Below are 17,296 nucleotides of genomic sequence, written 5' to 3'. Positions count from 1 at the left end.
TGGCTGGCTGGGTGAACTTGAGAGAGAGTCCAACCCTGAATTCTCTTATCTGTGAAATACCAATAAAAATAGCACATCCCAGGGTGGAAATAGCCCAAGTGTCCTTCGGCAGATAAACAAACTGTGGTCTGTGCACACAATGGAATATGACTCAGCCATAAAAAGGAATGGAGTTCTGACACATGAGCCAGCATGGATGAACCTTGAAAACATGCTAAGAAGCCAGGCATGAAAGCACATGCATTGTAGAGCTCTGTTCCCATGAAATGCCCAGAACAAGTGCATCCATAGAAGCAGAAGGCATATGGTCATTGACAGGCTAGGAGGAGAAATGGAAAAAACTCTTCAGTGGGTACAGGGTTTTGTTTGGGATGATGCAAATGGTTTAGAACTAGATAACAGGTGGTGGCTGTAGAACACTGTGATATACTAAATACCACCCAATCGTTCCCTTTAAAATGGTCAATTTTATATTATATAAATTTCATCTCAATTTTTAAGAGTAGCACTTCCCTCCTTGGTGCAGGAGGGATGGAGAAAATGTGTAAGACAGGAAGCACCTCCGCGACGTGCCACTGAGCTTGCACCCCGGCCTTTTTTCTGGAGACTCCAAACTCCTGTGGCTCGTGTGTGCCGCCTCCTCTGCGGGAGTTGACAGCAGCTCCTGGAGAAGGCAGCCTCCCACGCCAGTCCAGATCCCAGCCTCCAAACCCCTATCCCTGCTGCCCCTTGAAGGCTTCCCCTACCTGGAATTAGGCTTGGACTGGAAGATAAGCCACTTAGGAAAATAACATCATTTGTGTGTCACGGGCCCTGCCCTGGTCCCAAGTGCCGACATTTGATCCCTGTCCTCTGACCCCGGCTCTGACCCATGCCTAATCCCATGGCCATGCCAACAGCAGCCCAGGCCTGTCAGGAAAGCAGCTTTCCCAAGGAGGACCAGACAAGCCTTGACTCCTGGCAGCTTTTGCCTTTTGAGGGGCCTGTTAGACCAGGTATACAGAGCACAGTGCAGGATGGCCCAGGAGATTTTTAACAGGCTTGTAAGGAGGGGACTAATTAGTATCTCATCAGAATCTTATTAGTGCGGGAACATATTGAGGAATAGTAATCCTCATTCATTAACACTGTGTTTTCTAATGGAAATCAATGAGTGGCCCTCATTCTGGGTGGATTTCTGAGAGCAGCACTCTGTCCAAGTGTGAAGGGAGGGCTCAGACACCATGCAGGCTCCAGAAACAGAGGAGGGTTTGGCCTGGGTCTTCCTGATGTCCATGCCAATGAAATAAACACCTCAACCTCCCTAGCCTGTGGATTATTTCAAGACAGAGTCTACCTGCTGAAAAGGAAAGGCCCCTTTGGACGAGACGCTGTGTGCATGACACAGCCACTTAACCCTTCCATGGCCTAGGACTCCCATCATCAAAGTGAAAGGCTTGTGCCAATAGACCTGTCCCCAAGACTTCGTCTAGCTCTTTCTGTGAATCTCGTTCATCATCCTGAGAAAGTGCTGAACTTTCATAAAAATCACTGGGCACAAGGAGGGAAGGTCCAGGCTAGAGAGAGAGACTCAGGCATCATTCCCTTATCACAGGTTAGGAAGGCTGTCAGGATCATCAGGCCAGGCCAGGCCAGTGGACCACACAGGGTGCTGGACCCACTCCCAGAGTTTCTGCTCCAGTGGGCTGGGGAAGGGCCGGAGAGGTTGCAGCTCTAACAAGACCCCAGGGGATTCTGGCCTTCTGGTCTGGGGGCCACACTTTGAGAACCACTGGTGTGGAAAGAGGAAAGGGGAAGGGGAGAGGAGGTCCCCGCGAGGCCAGAAGCATCCCTGAAGGGTCAGGGTGAGGGAGCAGCCTTTGAAGGAACAGGCAGGGCGGTTCCAGCGAAAGGAGGGCCAGAAGGGGTGGAAGTGTTCCCCCAGAGGAAATGGAGCTTCAAAAAGCAGGCTGTGCCCAGTGTCGCAGAGACACTGAGCACGAGGAGGACCAGAAACAAGGGGAGAGGCAGCCGGCAAGGCTCCCCAAAGAGGGCGGCAGGTGCAGGCCCAGGAGGAGATGAAGGTGGGGAAGAGAGGCACGTGGCCACTCTTTAAAAACAAGAGACCTGCTTCCTCGACTCAGCCGCATTTCTGACACACGTGGTCTAGGCATGACAATGAGCTCTCTGGCCCTGACTTACAGAAGGTCCATGAAACACCACAGTTCTCAACGTGGCTTTCTCCCTGGAATCCAGAAGGAATGCAACTTGCTCAGGGACACACGAAGAGACAGGGCCTGGATTTGAACCGAGGTCTGGCACAAGTGATTCCAATCCTATGCCTCTCAGTCAGGCCGGGGATAGGCGGGCATCATGAAGTCCCCATCTCCAGGGGCATGTCGTTGGGAAACAACCACCAGGCTCGCCCACCTCTTCTGTTCTATGGGGCTAATGCTGCCAGCCAAGGGCTGCATCAGCTTGTGCCACGGAACCACCCTGCCCATGGAGAAGCATCACGAGGCACTTTCAGCATTTACTAATGGACCCTAGAAAATGTCTCTCAGCTCCACCAGTGTGATGATTAAGGCTGACCACAGAAGCCAAAACAGTAACATTTAGGATTTTGTAGGTCAGTCCTTGCACGGTTGCTCAGGCCAAGGGGCATAGATTGGTGATGCTGAATGGCATTTTCTTTCAAAGCTGAGCCCGGCAGAGCCCTGGGGCAGGACCTTGCAAAACCATTGTGTGAAGGAGAGCGAGTCCCTTGGGGAGGTGCTAGGAAACTCGGCTAACCCCGAATCCCTGCAGATCAGCAAAGGATGCCTGTCAGCTGAAGATCGGAGGAAACTTTCCCTGCAGACTGCCAGGCACCAGGGAGCCTAAGAGGTCACTGGCCTGGGACCCCAAGAGCCAGATGTTATCACAGGCTTGGCGCGTGAAACCTGAGCCTGGACACCAGCCCGGCCCCTCGCAGCACAGATGACATCCTGGGGCAGGCGCCAGGCAGAGATCAAGGCAAGGAGCTGTTCCTGGCCTGGGGTGCTAGGGATGCAGACCAGGGCTGGCAGTCACTTCCCTCTTTCCCATCCCCTCCTTGCTTCTCCCTCGGCCTAGTGCACAGCACCATTGCAGGCACAATCTGCCCCCTGCCCCTGAGCCAGAGGGAAGTTGCCAGGCAGCTTCCTGGTGATCCTTGGGGATTTCCTTAGGGTGTTGGGCTGGGATGCAGGACAGAGACGCAAAGACAGGGCAGGGAGAAGGAACCCCAGTAGAGCTGCTCCCACCTGACCCAGCACCTCGGCTGGACTCAGATTCCCCTGAGGTCCCGCTTGGGCACCCTCCCCACAGTCCACTGCATGCCACCTCTAGTTCATTCCAGGTCAGCTGGAGATAACAGTTTAAGCACCTCTCTCTCAGGGAGGCCTTCTTGATCTCATTGATTAGGTCAGATCCACCTGCTATATCACACTCTCCTATGCATTTATCTCTGCAGTTATGTGCTCATTAACCTCTCCCACTTACGAGAATCTCTGACATGTGGGGTCATGGCTACTTTGGCATGGCTTTAGTGGTGAAACAGTGGTGAGCCAGACACCATGGAGGTGTAGACAATACCTATCTACACCACATTCAGCCTGGGCACAGAGAACCAAAACTACACCTGTCTACATGAACAGGTCTGTGAGTCCCATTGTCTTCACTAGCATGACTTGTCTTTTCTGGAAGCCTCTTGCCCAGGCAAATGACTTCATTGTTCATTAGAAAAACTTCCCCAAATTGCGTCAACTCTTCAATGGGAATTATCAACAGACAGTTTTCACCCTAAGACACTTCAAATCCTTCACTCCCAAAATACTCACCTCACTTTTCCATCAATCCTGAACTGTTGTATAATGATCTTTAGCTAATCCTAATCCAGCCTTCCCACACTTCCACACTAAAAGATCCCCCCAAACCAAACTGTCAATTCTCAGTAAATTCCAACCTTGCCTTCTATTCCAGAGGTTACCAAAACTCTGTAGAGGCCGCGTTCTTTCTTACCACAGTGAGCAATAAACAGCTTTGTGTTATCAACAGCTTGTGTTGATGTTATTTGGGGAACCAGCATTCAACAGAGAAATTCAATAAGTATTGCGGAATGGTGAGTGGATGTGCAGATGGATGGGTAAAGATGGATGGATGGATGGATGGGTTGGTGGGTGGATGGGTGGATATGTGGAAGGGTGGGAGGGAGGGAGGGAGGATAGATGGTTGGATGGTTGGATGGTTGGATGGATGGATGGATGGATGGATGGATGTGGGTGGATGGATATGTGAGTAGATGGATTAGTTACTGGATTCCTACCAATGCTGATAAAGCAGGCTTCGGGTCTGGGGTGAGGCAAGGCTGGGGTAGGCCCCATCCTGGTCTCATGAGCACAGAAGTCTGTTTGGTGAGAGAAGCAGCATTCCCTCTGCAAGGAAGCCCCTTGAAATTATAAAAATTAATTCTCAAATAGCAAATCAAGATGATTTCAGTTGAAATTTGCAACTGAAAAGCCCCATTTGAAAACAGCTCTAGAGATGGCTGCCCGTCCCAACTTGATATGATGCGTGTAGATCAGTATCAAATTAAATTTCCCTATTGTGCGTTCTCTGTGGTGGGCACAATGCAGGGTGTTTCTATCCCCCATCCTCCTCTTGGTGATATCCTTTTCAGCTTAAATTATACAGAAGCAAATAATTATCAGGGCCTTCTGTTTACCCTCCTTAGAAGATTTAATTTATCCCAATAAACATGGGGAGGCAGACCTTTTGGATTTGAAATAACATATAATTTACTTCTAACAAATGCTCGGGGTCTGGGAGAAAGCCCATTCATCAAGCCGATCTGAATCCCAGGCAGCTTTACCAAAAGGACCTTTTGTCTAATTGTTTTCCATCACAAACAACACGTGGGGAGGAGATTTAGGCAATATTTCCAAACACTGTAAGCTACGTAATTATTGTCCTTAGCAAACCTGATGATAGTTTTAGAATCACAATGGTAATTTATCTGCCTAATCCCCCATTCACTATGGCCCATCACAAGTATCATGTGGTTGAGGAGGCATTTAATAACATTCAATTCAAAACCCTAGATTTAAATAACATTAAGGTGATGACTCAGGCCCAACAAAACCCAGGAAATCCAAAGGGGGCTAGGGTACCATTCTCGATGCCTGGCATTCGGCCAAGGTGCAGGATGGCAGAGAGTGGGCTCCAGGCCACCACTTTCTTTCCCTGGACCTGGCACAAAAGACATCAGCACTGAGAGTAGACAGTGGCTGAACTCAGTGCTACCAACCTGCCTGTCTGATGCCATCCAAGAGGCTGTCAGCCTAGCTTGTAGCTCGCTCTTTTTTTTTTTTTTCCAAGCAGCAATGGCATGGCTTCGACTGCTCTCCATGGACCTAACTCTGTCCTGAGCTCCAGATCTTGGTACCTAACTGCCCACTGGACATCTCTTCTGATTATTCACTGATGCCTCAAACAAGGCTGTCCAAAATTCAACTCCTCATTGTATACCTCTCTCCCTTGCTCAATTTGCTCCTCAGTAAATGGCCTTGCCATCCACCCAACCACCCAAACCCAAAACCTGGGGGTCAGACCTAACCTCTCCTTCCTTCACTTACTGCATTTTCACTTGGTCAGCAAGCCCACTTGTGTCTGACCCCTCCATATTTCCCACGCCCAAACCCTTATGCCCCACCCCATGGCCACTTCCCTGGTCCCGGATGTCATCTTTCGCTATGTTACTACAAACCCTCCTAGCTGGTTTTCCTGCCTCTAGTCCTTTTCTCTTCTAACCCATTCTTTTTTTTTTTTTTTTTTTTTTTTTGAGACGGTCTCACTCTGTCACCCAGGCTGGAGTGCAGTGGCATGATCTTGGCTCACTGCAGCCTCCGCCTCCTGGGTTCAAGCAATTCTCCTGCCTCAGCCCTCTGAGTAGCTGGGACTACAGGTGTGTGCCACCACGCCTGGCTAATTTGTTTTGTATTTTTAGTAGAGACGGGGTTTCACCATATTGGCCAGGATGGTCTCAATCTCCTGACCTCATGATCCACCTGCCTTGGCCTCCCAAAGTGCTGGGATTACAGGCGTGAGCCACTGTGCCCGGCCTAATTCATTCTTTTCAAGACAGTGGATATAAAATATAATTCTCTAACAGCAAATATGGACTATTTTGAAAGAAAGATACAATTCAAAGGCAGTGTTTGAGACACAGTCTTGGCAAGTGGGAGGCATTCCCTTGTTTGATAACTGCAAAGACTTTGCTACCCTCAGGGTCAAGTCCAAGTTGACCATTGTTTTCCTCTCCATCTCTCCCATAGTCTCCAGTGATACTAGGAGTTCTCCACATGTGCCATGTCCATAGTATCAAAATCAAGAAGATTCAAACCCAGGGTGATATAGGTTTCCATGAACTTCCCCTCAGAGCAATTGGGAGCAGGGGGTGCCTGAAGAAGGACTCTGGGGTGTGTATTTCACACTAGTCCTTCAACCTCAATCAGCTCCTGGGATTTCCACATGGAAGAAGATATGATTCCTACTAACAAGATGAAGATGATTCTACCTCTGTGCCAAATTCCACAACCCTTTAGAGAGAGAAGCATATGAAGGACGAAGGAATAGAGAAGACACAGGCTTTGAACTCATGAACCGGGTTTTCATTGTTGGGTTCCTTACTTCCCAGCTTGGTATTGCCGGCTTGGTATTGCCAGCTGGTAAGTTATGGAGTCTTTCCATACTTTGTTTCAAAGTAGGGGGTGGTACAATGAGATGCCATCTCACCCTAGTTAGAATGGCGATCATTAAAAAGTCAGGAAACAACACATGCTGGAGAGGATGTGGAGAAATAGGAATGCTGTTGGTGGGAGTGTAAATTAGTTCAACCATTGTGGAAGGCAGTGTGGCAATTCCTCAAGGATCTGGAACTAGAAATACCATTTGTGGGCCGGGTGCAGTGGCTCACGCCTGTAATCCCAGCACTTTGGGAGGCCAAGGCGGGTGGATCATGAGGTCAGGAGATAGAGACCATCCTGGCTAACAGGGTGAAACCCTGTCTCTACTAAAAATACAAAAAAATAGCCCGGCATGGTGGCGGGCGCCTGTAGTCCCACCTACTCGGGAGGCTGAGGCAGGAGAATGGCGTGAACCCGGGAGGCGGAGCTTGCAGTGAGTGGAGATCGCGCCACTGCACTCTAGCCTGGGCAACAGAGCAAGACTCCATCTTAAAAAAAAAAAAATACCATTTGACCCAGCAATCCCATTACTGGGTATATACCCAAAGGATTATAAATCATTCTACTATAAGGACACATGCACACGTATGTTTATTGTGGCACTATTCACAATAGCAAAGACTTGGAACCAACCCAAATGTCCATCAGTGATATACTGGATAAAGAAAATGTGGCACATGTACACCACGGAATACTATGCAGCCATAAAGAATGAGTTCATGTCCTTTACAGGAACATGGATGAAGCTGGAAACCATCATTCTCAGCAAACTAACACAGGAACAGAAAACCAAATGCCACATGTTCTCACTCATAAGTGGGAGTTGAACAATGAGAATACATGGACACAGGCAGGGGAACATCACACACCAGGGTCTGTCTGGGGGTTGAGGGGCTAGGGGAGGGATAGCATTAGGAGAAATACCTAATGTAGGTGACGGGTTGATGGGTGCAGCAAACCACCATGGCACGTGTACATCTATGTAACAAACCTGCACATTCTGCACTACCCCAGAAATTAAAGTATAATTAAAAAAAAAAGTGGGGGGTGGTAATAGACCTTGTTACCTAAAGATTGTTATGATGGTTAAATTAAAACTCCTCACCCCTGTCAAGCTGGAATGTAGCCCCTGTTAACTTGAGATCCCCCTTCTTTGGCTAGCTAACTTCTGCTCTCCCAACAGAATCCTATCTTTCATGTCTCATCTCCCAGGACACCCCCCTCCCCACCGGGCCTGGGAAGGATTAGGAGGGCCCTGTCCAGTGAATTCCTTGGCCTTCTCATTCAAGTCTGGTTGCCTGTTTGTTCATTTGTCTTTCACATGGGACCCTGAGCTCCATACATGCAGGGACCAGGGCTTGCTTGTCTGTGCATCTCCGGCGCTTGTGACATGTCATACTCAAGAGAGCTGAGGCCGACCAGCTGAACGGAGGATGCCCTAGCAAAGCACCTCATGTGGGCCACAGGTATCAATGGACAACCTCCCCTCACTGTCCTCCCCTTCTCCTTAGCTGCTTGTCAAAAGCCTGGGCCAATTTTTATTCTGTGCCTTGAGGTCTTGTGTACTTTTTTTTTTTTTTTTTGAGTTGAAGGAAATGCCCCACCTTTAACAGTCGTAACAGCCTCAGTTGCAGATACATGTGTGGGCTCTGGGGGTCACAGCTGCCTGTGCCTTCACTGACTTAAGGATGCAGAATGTCAGGGTCAGCTTCACCAGGCTCTTCTTGGAGATGCCTTCCTGGGTCCTGGGGTGACTCTCTGTCCAGTGAATTCCTCTGGCCTGACAGCAGGTCTCGCTGCTTCTTGGCAGTGCAGGTGTAGGTAGCAAGCTGTCAATTGCCATGCTTTAAAAAGGAGATTGGGGCCTGCTGGACCATCATGATTCTAAGCAGCTGTGTGTGTGTTTCTTTTTTTGCAGGTCACTGTCTGGGTGGTCAGGATGGTGGCTCATGGGGGCAGCACCCACATGGGGATGACACGTGGAGTGAAGTGTCCACCTGCCTGTGTCCACCCAGTGAGGCTGGGATGAGACCCTGTGGATGGATGGCTGGTGACACTTGGGAGCAGCCGCAGACAAGCCGATCACTCAGAGACTTAGGGCTCACTGGGGAGGCGTGAGATTTCCTTTAGTCCTTGGACACCAAGTGAACACCACTCTACACCCGTATCCAGCATTGATGACAAAGAAGACAGATCCCAAGAAAGGGCTGGTGGGGGTTACACCATGGCAGGAAAGTTCCTGGGATTGGGAATGAGCTAGACTCCACCTATTGGTTGTGTGACTTGAGAAAGCAACTTAATCTCTCCAACCTCATTCATTCGATAACTACTCATCAGGTACTCGCTGCATGCCAAGCATTGTTAGAGACTTTCGATGCAGCCTTTTCTACAAAATAGGGATTTTTACCACCTACCTAATAGGACTGATGTTAAGTCCATAAGACATAAAGCAATGACTATAGTACCTGGCCCTCAATTAAGGTGAGTTATAATCTCCTACTAACATACCTCTCCTTTTGGAAATTGGGGGTCGGGGTGTGATGGACAAGAAGCAAGTCAATTCAAAGCCTGGCATTCAAGAGAAAAATACCTAATGGGTGACAATAGCAAATTCCCAGCCATTTTGCTCTCTTATTTGAAAAGAACAGACCAGGCAGGGTTTGGAATGACCAAAAGTTAAGGCAACAAGTGCAGTGGCAAGGACACCAGGCCTAGTCTGCCCCGCTGTCTTGCTGTGTGACTTAAGTTAAAAGCTTTGCCCTCTCTGTTCCTGGCTTTCCTCATCTGTCAGAGGAAAATAATAATATCTGCCCTGCTTAGTCCTCATCGTAGTAACATAAAACATAAGAATGTATCTTAATATGATAATGTAAAACTTAAGTTATCTGTGATGCTTAAGTTAATGTATCTGAAAGTGCTTTGAAAAATACAAAATGTCTTAGTCCATTTGGGCTGCTATAACAAAATACCTTAGACTGGGTAATTTATAAACAAAGTTGTTGCCCATAGTTCTGGATGCTGGGAAGTTGGAAGATGAAGGTCCCAGCAGACTCGGTGTCAGTCGAGGGCCTGTTCCTCATAGATGGAAGTTGGAAGATGAAGGTCCCAGCAGACTTGTTGTCGGTCGAGGGCCTGTTCCTCATAGATGGAACCTTCTACCTGTCTTCACATGGTGCAAGGGATGGACAAGCCTCCTTGCGCCTCTTTATAAGGGCACTGATCCCACTGATGAAGCTTCTGCCCTCATAACCTGATCACCTCCTAAAGGATCCACCTCTCAATACCATTGCATTGGAGATAGGTTTCAACATAGCAATTTTGGGAGAACACAAACTCTCAAGCGATAGCAGATACCACCTGCAAAGTAAAAATGCTGCTTTGACAGTATTTCCATGGTTTTGTCACCATATCTTAGTTTGTATTCCCCGAAGGCAGGCCCTGAGACAATGGTTGGGCTGCAGATCGATTATTTGGAAGAGGATCTCAGGAAGCAGGCGCTTGATCGTTGGGCAAATGATGACAAGAAGGGGAAAAAAACAGTCAGGGGTGTTAATGAGCAGGTTACTGCCATGGGCAACTGGGGCTCAGTCCAGCTGGAACACTCAGAGGAAGTGTTTGCAATGCACCCCGGGATTATCCTACCAAGAGACAGGCAGGCTGGGGTGTTTACTTAATCGGATTCCAGCCCTTGTTGCTTGAAGATCATGTCTAGGGCTGTTCAATCTCTGGCACTTCTAGGCTGCCTGAATGTGAACTGAACATACCCCCAAATATAAGCTGAGAGCTTTCTTGTGCCAGAGAAAGCTCTCAGGCCTAGAAGCAGAGAGACAGTGTCCTTTGCTGCTGCAGAAAACTGTGAGAATTTATGCCCCAGGGGACATGGTATCTGCCATACCAGTTACTCCCACTCATATGACAATACTATAGCCAACATATTTTCATTATTCTAGCGATGCCTTGCTTATCCAGACAATATTTACTCAACAACTTTAATGATCAGAAAAATTTAGAAAACAACCAAGAGATGAAATTAGGTGTCCAAAAATCCATGTGCTGAAGTGCATTTGACAGAAGCTTCTGCTTGCATACCATGTGCTATGGGTTAAGCCCTGGAAGTAGCCTGGTGAGTAAGGCAAAGATGCCTTGCACTTGAGGAGTTCACCTTTTAAGGGGAGACAGCAGCCCCTAAATTTGATATGTACTAAGGATAAATCAAACAATGGGCAGAAATAGAGAAAGGAGAGAGTGGGAGAGCCTGTTGTTATCAGGTAGTCAGGAATAGTCATTGAGGAAGTCGTTTTTAGGCTTAGAAGTAAAAAATGAGGAAGAACCAGCTATAAGAGTGGGGCAAAGGGTTGCTCTGGGACTAGGAGGTAGCCTGTATAAAGGCCCTTGGCAGAAAAGACCAACGGTGAGGAAGTGAAGGAGGCTCAGTGTGGCCAAAGTGGGTTAAAGCAAGGAAGAGAGTAGTCAGATATGAGGTTGGAAAGACAGGCCAGGCCAAATCACACAGGGCTGAAAAAGCTATGGGCAGGATTTGGGCTTTATCCTTGGGGGCAATAGGGAGCCACTGAAGGTTTAAAAGCAAGAGAGAGAGCTGCTTGGATATGAAAACCCCAATGACCACTGTGTCTTCTGAGTAGGGAAGATCTAAAGAAGGGTAGGAGAGGGAGGGGAGGCCAAGTTGAAGGCTGTGGATGGAATCCAGGCTGGAGAGGTCACTGTATTTTAGCCCTAAATGAACCCTTCCAATCTTCACCCAGAGGTGACTTACTGGTAATTTACACTTCGGTCTAACACCACAGTTATTGTGGCTCCTAATCCTGAAGTAGGACTTCCTTGACCCCCAACGGTTTCATAAGCCTGGGCCAGTGGACTACTCTTGAAAAGGATTGTCACCAGACACAGCAGCTTCTTTTTCCAGGAAATCCACTTCAGTGCTCCAGGGAGGCAAGTCGGCAGCGAGTGCTCATAGCAACAGTTCACACACACACAGAGCTTTCTATGCGCCGAGCACATTCCACACACTCTGAACGCAGTAACTTATCCAAGCCTCACAAGAGCCTGGTGCTGCAGGAACTAGTATTAGCCCATTTCATAGACGAGGAAGCTGAGGCATGATGTGATGAGGTGACTGGGACATAAACCCAGGCCATCTGCCTGCCTCCAGAGGGCAGGATCTTAAGTCCAACACTGCTGGCTTCACATTCTATTCTAACTGAGCCAACAAATGCAGGCGCCTCTGAGATCCGGCTGCCTTGCGGACCCTGTGCTGGAAGAGCTGGGTGTCTGGTTGTCGGGGATGGAAATGAAGATATTAGGGAGCGTGAGCCAGGCAAAATGATCCCCCATGTGTTCCTCTCCGGGTCACGTGCACTGGTTCACTAATCTGCTGGGCTTTTACAAAGCACCTCCTGTGTACAAAGTACTGTGCTGTAGATTGGACATGGAATAACCAGAAGAGCAAGGGTTTCAGAATCCCACTCCTGCTCTGCTACCTACTAGTGTCATGACCTTGGGCTTGTTGCTTAACCTCTCTAAGCCTCAGTTTTCTTAACTCTAAAACAAGAGTTGCAGGGGTTGGGATGAGGAAATAAAAGAAGGAAGGAAAGAAGGCAGGGAGAGAGGCTCGGTGTGAAAGCTTGCAGGCTATAGAGGCCGCACAGCTGTGGGTTGAGTAAATTCTGCAAAGGCAAAGCACTCATGAGTCAGGAGCTTGCAGCCTGGGCTCGGGAAATTGTCTCCCAACCCATCTGGCTTTTCAGCTCTTTGGGAAAACAAAAGTTTGCACTTTGTAAATGTGAATTATTTGGGCCTTAGGCTCTTAGATGTACAGAAGTAGGTGAAACCTTTCTTTCAGCGGATCCAAATTTCCTTCTATAACTTGAATCCCAGTACATCCTATTTGCTCCCAGTGAAATCAGCTTGATTACTACCAGTGTCAGGGACCTCACTGCCTACAACGCAATCCCTTCCATCTTAGTCATCCTCTTGTGAGCTCTCTTAGGTTGTATCTTAAATGAGTCACTTTTCTTATGCCCACAGTAGACTGTTAAATGAATGGGCTTCCTGGGTACCTTCTACTCAACAATTAAAGGTCAGAGGAAGGTCAGGTGGCCAAGGAGAAGTCCCAGGCCAGGCCCTCACATCTCCCGGATTTAGAGCAGCATGTTTTAATAAGCATATGATTTATGAGGGCCATGTGCCCAGTCATTATTTGAAAATGGTGACAGTGGCTTTCTTCACGTCAACTGAGAGGATGAATCCCATCCCCCTTTTCTGTTTTTCTCCATATTGTGCTCCTTTTGGAGAAAGGCCACTTCCCAATAAATAAGTAACAACAAATCACAAATAAAATAACACCGAGTCCTTTCCATCGTAGAGTCACACATGATTTACCAGGACTGAAATTCACAACCTGCAGCGTCTGAGTAAGGGGGGGCAGAGGGGACAAGCTCACGGAGCCTTCACATTATCTGAATCCAAAATATGTGCCTCGAAGGGAAGGGTTTCGTTTCTATTCTCCCAGAGAAGAGAATCAACAGAGAAATAATGACAGTGTGCAGTGAAGGGAACGAAATGAATAAATAAGCCCTCCATGAGCTGGAGTCAAACATTTATTTTACATGAAAGGGGGCTAATGACATTCAATAGGATAGAGGAAATCAAAGAGTCACAGCCAGTAGCCACCCTTTTAAACCAGATTTTGAGCACAGCCCCCCAAGGGCTGTTTCTACCAATTTTCCAATAAATCACGCAGACTTTTAGAAGAGACAGATATTTAATTAGTGCATTAGAACCACAACAGGACCATAACCAAAGGCTGCGGCCCTGGAGTCCCAGGTTCTTCTTACACAGTCCCTTAAACCACCTGGCTCTAAAATGACGGGTTAATTGGGTAATGAAGCATTGGGCAGGCTGCAGGATGAGGAGCTGATGGCTGACCTCGGGGGCTGGGATCAAAGTTCATGTGTTAAAGGACCTGGCCCATGTGGAGCCCACTGCTTCCTCTTCTACTTCAGGTAGTTAGATTATAATTAATTAAACACACGGATCTGTCCAGAGGTTGAGTACCTGAGAGTGGCTCATTACACACCTCCTCCCCGCTTGTCCCAGCTGAAGTCAGTCAAATTTGCATCTTGAGGGCAGGAGATAGGAAACACAGCGCTATCAAGGCTGGTCCTCCAGGCAGCCCAGGTGGCACAGGAAGGAGACCCTCATGCTGATGGGAGCATTTCAACCCCCGGCCTATACACGACCTATGCACATACTCCTCCTTTATCTGCTCATTCAACAGCTTGTTCACAGCTGATCTGGACGATACAGTGGGACTTCCGGTCAGTCCAGTGGGAGGGGAAGATGGCAAGGAAGTAGCACAGCCCTGATCAGCTTCCCAGCGGTAGAGTCCAGGGAATGGAAAAGGCCAGCAGGTTCAACACGGCTCCCAGAAACCAACGTGTACATCTGAGGAAGTGTCCAGTGCCTACTCTCCTAGAGGAAAAACCCAACAGAGAAATAAGGGCCGGGCTCAGATCATGCCTTTAATCCCAGCACTTTGGGAGTCCAAGGCAGGCAGATCACGAGGTCAGGAGTTTGAGACCAGCCTGACCAACATGATGAAACCCCATCTCTACTAAAAATACAAAAAAAAAAAAAAAAATTAGCCAGGTGTGGTGGCACGTGCCTGTAATCCCAGCTACTCAGGAGGCTGAGGCAAGAGAATTGCTTGAACCTGGGAGGCGGAGGTTGCAGTGAGCTGAGATTGCTCTACTGCACTCCAGCCTAGGCAACAGAGCAAGACTCTATCTCAAAAAAAGAAAAGAAAGAAAAGAAAAGAAAGAAAGAAATAAGGACATTGTCTGAGAAGGGGAGGTACCCAGTCCTGATAATAGGGAGATATTCCCTGGCATAGAGTCGGGGGCTTCCTGAGGAAGCAAGGAGCTGAGATCTGAAGGAACCAGGATCCCAGGGGAATGGAGGAGGCAGCAGAGAAGAAGAAAGAGAAACCTGACCAGGGACTGAGAGGTCAGAGTGGGTGGGGAGGGAAGGGTTAGGGCAGGCGAGCTAGGCCAGGAGGACCAAGCACCACCAGGCTGGCTCCTGGGATTTACCCTGCTGCATAAGGGTTTGACAGGCATATGGGGGGTGAGTAACCAGTTAGGTTCACAAGGTCTCAACAGGATCCAAATCCAAGCCCAAAGCAGAGGCCTCGGCCCAGCTAGGAGGAAGGATGCTGAGGTCTGGCACCCCCACGCCTCCTGTAACGGAAACAGCACTCCTTTCCCCCACCATATTCCATAAGGCAGGTGGCTTGGCAGTGGGAGCGGGGAGAGCCCAGGCCTGGGAAGGTTTTTAGTTCCTCCCGAGGAGCCCCTGGGGTGAAGGCATGGTGGCTCCTGGGCTGTCTTGTGGTGGTGGAAGAGCAGGGGCTGCACGGAGGAGCCTGCTGGGAGGATGGGGGCTTCTCCTGGCCATGCCTCTTCGGCCCTCTTTGAGACTGAATGACGCTGCTGGCACCAATGCCTTGAGGAGAACCCAGACTAGGCCTCTAGTTCCATCCAGAGCTGGGCACAGCACAGGGAAACGCAATCAACTGGACTGGGAGTGGGGACTAGGGCCCATAAACTGCGCCCCACTCTGGCCTGCCTCTCCTTGGCTTGCTCACCTCCCACGCTGGAGGGCTGCCCCTCGGGGGCTCCCTCTGCCCTTTGCACCCTCCCTGCCTGCAGTGCACATGGCCCACTAATGTTCCCAAGTTCTCACATGCCTGGCTCCCCCAGACAGTGGGCCCTTCACGTTCTCCCTCCCTTCCTACCCTCAGCCTTCAACACAAAACTGTGTGAGTGGCATCATCCTAGTGGCAGCCCCGTTCCCACCTGCCACCTTCACTGCCACAGGAATAGTCCTGCATCAAGAGAAATGGCTTACTGGGCACATCAGAGCCAGGCCACAGGAAGCCAGCCCAGCACTGCACCTACAGGGGCTGTGAGGCTACGGAACAGCACCCCTCAGAGCTCAGCAGGGCAAACACAGGCCAGTCTTCCACAGGGCACAGCCACGGTGACAAGGCAGCATCTGTGTACAGATGGGAAGCTCTGCTGCTGCTCTCTAGGCAGCTGGAAATTCTACCCCAAGTTTGCACCATAATAGAAGAGAATGGAGAGGTTTCATCCCTCACTGCAGGGTAGAGCGCTTGCCCTGAAACATAAATGAGGTACAGGCATGAGGCTTAGAAAACTCTCAAATTATAACACCTCTGAGATGCCCATTGTATCCACGCGGACTCCAGCAGGTTTGCATGTCCCTGCATCCCCAAAACAATAGCTTCAGTAGTCATCAGATGGCCAGAAACCAAAGCCACTGTCATTAAAATCCAAGAGGTGCTATTAATTAAAGTGCCCCTCACTCATTATGTAGAGAGAGCTGTTATTTCCATTTGAAGCCTGCTAGTTGGATAACTGCTTCCATTAAAACAAAAACCTCCCTCTGAGATGCAATTTAACACGCAAGTGCTTGGGCTTTCAGACGGGCTGCTCCTGCTGTTGAAACACACACACCTGACTTTCTGGGCCCACAGTTCCCAGAGTCTGTCTGCCCACAGGACTGCCAGGAAACAAGCACCATCTCCTGAATTACACCCTGCTTGCCATAACATTATCACCAAAGTCAGCAAGGCATGCCAGGCCAGAAATCCAGCAAATGCCTCGAACGTCAGCCTTTCAGAAACCATTCACTCACTTATATTCATGTGTGCACTCTGCTCTCAGGGTTTGAGCACCTCTATGGGGCTGGCCACTGTGACAGGCACTGGAATAGTACTGTTAATCCAGCAGATACGTGCCTGCCCACATGTGGTTTCCAGGGAAGCCAGGGGGTAAAAGCAGAAATGAAACCAAGAACAGAACAAACGGATGTACAGTGGGTGTAGCCCTGGTGCAGAGGCCTGCTAGCCAGCCCATGCCATCAAGGCACGAGGGGCACAGAAATCTCCATGCAGAACCCCTGGGAACCAGCTGGCACCAAGCAGAGACCCCAGAGCTGTCCATGTGCTGACAACCTCTGGATGCAGTGAGGTATTCCAAGAGATGTTGCAGTCTCATGAATTCAACTCAAGAGCTACAAACCAATACAAAGAAAAATGTTAGCATGTGCTGTAAAATGGGGCATTTGAAGGGTCAGAAGGCCCATCTTGAGCCCCTCTCTTTATTTACGAGATGCAGGCTCCTCCCTGACAGTCTGCTGTGAGATGCTGTAATTCTGGAAGCAGTCAGTCTCCCAAAGCAAGAGGAGGAAGAGACCAGGGTCTTCTATCTTGCATCACACTCAGCAACATCGACCCATGCCCACGATGTGGGCCAAGGGTCAGTCACATATTGAACTTAAACTCCCAAGTCCCGAGTTTGCAGTATGAGGGATAATTGGAGGGAAGAAAGGAAGAAAAGAGAGGGGGGAAAGAAAGGAAGAAAGGAGGAAAAGGAAAGAGAAAAAGAAGGGAGAGAGGAAGGGTGAGGTAGAGAGGGAAAGAAGAAGGGAAAGAGGGAGGAAGGGAGGCA

At 49.1% G+C, this 17,296-nt stretch overlaps 1 long non-coding RNA gene across 5 annotated transcripts in view, besides 4 other annotated features; it reads right to left on the bottom strand.

Moving 5' to 3' along the window:
* Positions 1-17,296, bottom strand: part of LINC02641 (long intergenic non-protein coding RNA 2641) — a 214,291-nt gene that overhangs the window by 86,465 nt on the left and 110,530 nt on the right. The window lies entirely within an intron of this gene.
* Positions 15,017-15,712: an enhancer, noted in NCBI's record as "NANOG-H3K27ac-H3K4me1 hESC enhancer chr10:125219553-125220248 (GRCh37/hg19 assembly coordinates)". NCBI's record gives its function as "activates a minimal SCP1, AML or CMV promoter by ChIP-STARR-seq in naive H9 embryonic stem cells {active_cell/tissue: H9 hESC(naive)}" and the evidence as "EXISTENCE:reporter gene assay evidence [ECO:0000049][PMID:30033119]".
* Positions 15,713-16,407: an enhancer, noted in NCBI's record as "OCT4-NANOG-H3K27ac-H3K4me1 hESC enhancer chr10:125218858-125219552 (GRCh37/hg19 assembly coordinates)". NCBI's record gives its function as "activates a minimal SCP1, AML or CMV promoter by ChIP-STARR-seq in naive H9 embryonic stem cells {active_cell/tissue: H9 hESC(naive)}" and the evidence as "EXISTENCE:reporter gene assay evidence [ECO:0000049][PMID:30033119]".
* Positions 16,408-17,103: an enhancer, noted in NCBI's record as "OCT4-NANOG-H3K27ac hESC enhancer chr10:125218162-125218857 (GRCh37/hg19 assembly coordinates)". NCBI's record gives its function as "activates a minimal SCP1, AML or CMV promoter by ChIP-STARR-seq in primed H9 embryonic stem cells {active_cell/tissue: H9 hESC(primed)}" and the evidence as "EXISTENCE:reporter gene assay evidence [ECO:0000049][PMID:30033119]".
* Positions 16,481-16,540: a silencer, noted in NCBI's record as "silent region_2905". NCBI's record gives its function as "represses an Ori minimal core promoter by ATAC-STARR-seq in GM12878 lymphoblastoid cells {active_cell/tissue: GM12878}" and the evidence as "EXISTENCE:reporter gene assay evidence [ECO:0000049][PMID:35858748]".

Source organism: Homo sapiens, chromosome 10 (genome assembly GCF_000001405.40).
Source record: "Homo sapiens chromosome 10, GRCh38.p14 Primary Assembly".
In the NCBI taxonomy this organism is placed as follows: domain Eukaryota; kingdom Metazoa; phylum Chordata; class Mammalia; order Primates; family Hominidae; genus Homo; species Homo sapiens.
The sequence above is the reverse complement of the archived record's forward strand: the minus strand, read 5'-3'. Positions and strand labels throughout refer to the sequence as shown.